Genomic DNA, 3,850 nt, shown 5'->3' with positions numbered 1-3,850 from the left:
GGGAAAATGTCAATATCAAAAGTCACATGCTGTATGATTCCATTATATAAAGTCCTTGAAATGACAAAATTAGAGAAATGGAAAAAAGACGAGCGCCCAGGTGAGTGATGATGGGGGGCCGGGGTGGAAGGAGAACGGTGAAGGGGTGGCACAGTGGGATTGTCGTGGGGCTGGAGGAGCTCCAGCCTGGCTCTGGTGCTGCTTATCCTAACCCGCCCACATGATAAACAGAACCGCACACACCTCGAACCAGTGTCAGGTCCTGGCTTTGATTCTGCGCTATGTTTACAAAACTTGTACCCACTGGGGGAAACTGGGGGAAGCACTGAATCTACCCATACATTTTCACAGCTTCCTGTGAACCTATAATTATTTCAAATAAGAAGTTTTTAAAAATCTGAGCAGAATCTAGAAAATGTGAAGAATGCATATACTCTAGAACTCAGCAAAAATATCCCAGTAACAAACAGTTTGAAAATGTATTCTTTAAAAGATACACATGAAAAAAATACAAAACAACTAACACTAAATCTAACAAAAGATAAATAAGATTTTTGTGAGGAAAATTATAAAACTTTATTAAAATATCTTTCTAAAGAATTTAAACAGAGAAATAAGCCATCATGTTTGTGGATTAAAATACTAAATATAATAGAGATATTAGTTCTTCCCCAGTGGATCTATAGATTCAATGCAATTTCATTTGAAACCCAACAAGTTTTTTTGTGAAACTTGATAAACTGATTGAAAAATGCATAGGAGTAAAAAGCAGAGAATAGCCAAGACACTCCTAAAATAAGAATAAGGTGTAAGGAATTGACTCACAGATATCAAAAATCATTGTGAAACTACAGAAAGTAGGATAATGTGGTACTTATTTAGAGACAGACAAATTGACAAAGAGAACAGAATGGAGGCTAGACCTAGACCAGCACACGAATGGAAGTTTTCTGTATGCCCAAGCTGGTATTGCAGATTAGCAGAGAAAAGATGATTATTCAATAAATGGTGGTGGGACATTGATTATACCTATGGAAAAAAATGAAATTAGATTCTTAGCACACACCATATACAAAAATCAATTCTAGTATATTGAAGACAAAGGAGAAAAGCAAAAACCACAAAATTTAAAAGGCAAAATATGAACACATCAAGACAGTGAGGAATTTCTTAAAATACCGCAGCAAAAACATAAAGGGAAAGATTGATGATTTCTACTAAACTAAAATGTTTAAATTCTGTTCTAAAAAGACCTTATAAAGGGAATGAAAAAAAATTCTCTGGGAGAAAATATTTGCCACATCTGTAACTGACAAAGGATTATTGTCTATAACATATATATAAAGAACTGTATCAGTAAACAACTCTGAGATGAAATGGGGAAAGGCTTGAAAACACTTCACAGAGAGAAATAAAAAACGGCTCTAAGTACATGAAAACGCACAAGCTCATTAGCAGCCACAACAAGAAACCATTTCATACCCAGCAGACTGGCAAAGATTTTAACGTTGACAATACCAGCGCTTGGGAAGGGGAAGGATGTGGAACTCTGTGCACATGCCCAGTGGAAAGTAATTGTTACAACCCATTTGGAAAAAAAAAAAAAAAAACCATTTGGAAACCAACCGAGCAGAATCTAGAAAATGTGAAGAAGGCATGTGCTCTATGACCCCTCAACTCAACCTCTGGGGAAAAAAGGGCCTTGGAGACCTGCTGTGTCTGTGCAGGAAGAGATGGAAGAGAGTGGGCACAGTGGCTCTTTCTGCAGTAGCAGAAAGCCAGACGCCAATCCAATGTCCATAACAAAAGGATGGTATACTCCTTCAACTAAAATCCAGATGGCAGGGAAAGTAGATAAATCACAGTTACACAAAAAACATGGATAAATCTCAGAGACACACAGAACTGAATGAAACTAGAAATCACAGAATAATATATAAAGTATGATTCTGTTTATTTTAAACTCAAAAATCAGAAAAACCAAACTAGCTGTTGTTTAAAATAACAAACGTGTGGAAGAACTGTGAAGAAAATCAAGGGAGGGATAAACACAAAATTTAGGATACAGTACTTGGAGGGGACAGAAGAAAGGGATGGCTCCGGAGGGACCTAGAGACCTCAAACAGGATGGTGGCCTTTTACTTAAACTGGAAATTGAGTCTACGGGCATTACACACATAGTTAAGTGCATGTTATGCATATTTTCAAAATTACAAAAATAAAAGGAAACCGAGAGGCTCCGTGGGAACCACTTGATTCTCACTGAAACTGATGGAGGGGAAGGAGGGTGCCACCTCCCTGCCATTCCCAAGGCCCGCGCTCAGGCAGCTGCTTCCGACCCCCGGGGACGCCCGCCCCGTGGACCAAACACACACTATCATTTCCTAAGTGTGGGAGCACGGGAGTAAAGGAGCACGACTGGGCCGCTCATCACTGGGAGAGGCGGGCAGGGAAGGAGCAGTAGGGGGAGAAGCGGGACAACCCCTGGCCGCCACCCTCCACCACGGTCCGCATTCTGCCGTTGGCCTCGGCCCAGCGTGCTTTCCTCTGCTAGCCAGCCAGGTCCTACTGTGTGTTGGGGGTAAGGGGGAAGCAAGGCTATTCTGAATCTCCACTCCACGGCCTCTCTCCCTCTCCTCCCAAATGCTCCTCCTTCAGGCCACATCCTGACGCAGCTGCTGACACCCTCATATTCAGCATCCACCGTAAGCTTTTTCATTTGCTCCCAGTGAACATTTTCAGGGATGTCAAGGAGGAGGAGGAAAGGGGGTGCCATCGGGAAGGGCTGGCAATGACAAGGCCAGGGATGGTGAAGAGACCCTGCAATTAGTTCCTGACCTCCATCTCACCTCAAGCCCAAGTCCTGCCATTTCAACTCAGGGAACTTGTTTCTGGCCACTGCTGGGGCCGCCTCCTCCACTGTGGGCGCTCAGCTGCCCGGTGTCCTGCCAGTCCCCTCCCTAAACCAGGATCACTGCGCGGAGGTCACCTGGAATCACCCGTACTTGTGGGTCCTAGACACCCTGTGACTCATTAATGTCCCTGGTGCCAAGAAGCTACAGCAGGAAAATTCACTACAGCAGGAAAATTTCTCTGTTATCTCAGAGAAGCCCACCTGAAGAGGCAGTCCTCGCCAGATCTCCGCTTATCGCCTCTGTGTGAGCACAAGAATTATGGTGTCTTATCAAGCAGCATTTTCCCGCCGAATTAAGGGGAACGGTCCATTTGCCCTCTGACCTTTTGGAAAAGTAACCACTGGGCGCCTTTCTGGTGTGGTGGAAAATCACAGCATAGGCGCTTCTAAAGCACAGGCTATAAAACATTCTTCATGTCTTGTTCAAATCTTCAAAGCTCCCCAGTTGAAGCTCTCAGCTTGACAGCGTCCAGCTAACTCCTCCGCCTTGAGCTCTCTGTGCCTTTGGGGCCTGGGCCGCTGCTGCTTCCTTGCAACTCCAAGGAGCCTAATCAGACTTCAGATGCCCACAAGCGCTTCTTCTTTCTTCTCTACCTCTCCCTAAAAAGAAAAAACAATCATGTTGGCAAAAGGGAAATGGAACAAGGCAAATCCAGTTTATACAAATGCATCAGAGAGGTTTAGTGCTTTTCTCCTAAAAATATTCACCCATAGGCAGGGCAGGGTGGCTCACACCTGTAATCCCAGCACTTTGGGACGCCGAGATGGGTGAATCACAAGGTCAAGCGACAGAGACTATCCTGGCCAACATGGTGAAACCCCGTCTCTACTAAAAATACAAAAATTAGCTGGGTGTGGTGGCATGCACCTGTAGTCCCAGCTACTCGAGAGGCTGAGGCAGGAGAATCGCTTGAACCTTGGAGGTGGAGGTTGCAG

At 44.1% G+C, this 3,850-nt stretch overlaps 1 annotated feature.

Moving 5' to 3' along the window:
• Positions 2,499-3,083: an enhancer, noted in NCBI's record as "H3K4me1 hESC enhancer chr8:49042982-49043566 (GRCh37/hg19 assembly coordinates)". NCBI's record gives its function as "activates a minimal SCP1, AML or CMV promoter by ChIP-STARR-seq in naive and primed H9 embryonic stem cells {active_cell/tissue: H9 hESC(naive and primed)}" and the evidence as "EXISTENCE:reporter gene assay evidence [ECO:0000049][PMID:30033119]".

Source organism: Homo sapiens, chromosome 8, assembly GCF_000001405.40.
Source record: "Homo sapiens chromosome 8, GRCh38.p14 Primary Assembly".
Lineage (NCBI taxonomy): Eukaryota > Metazoa > Chordata > Mammalia > Primates > Hominidae > Homo > Homo sapiens.
Note: the sequence above shows the minus strand (reverse complement) of the source record. Positions and strands in the feature narration are given on the sequence as shown.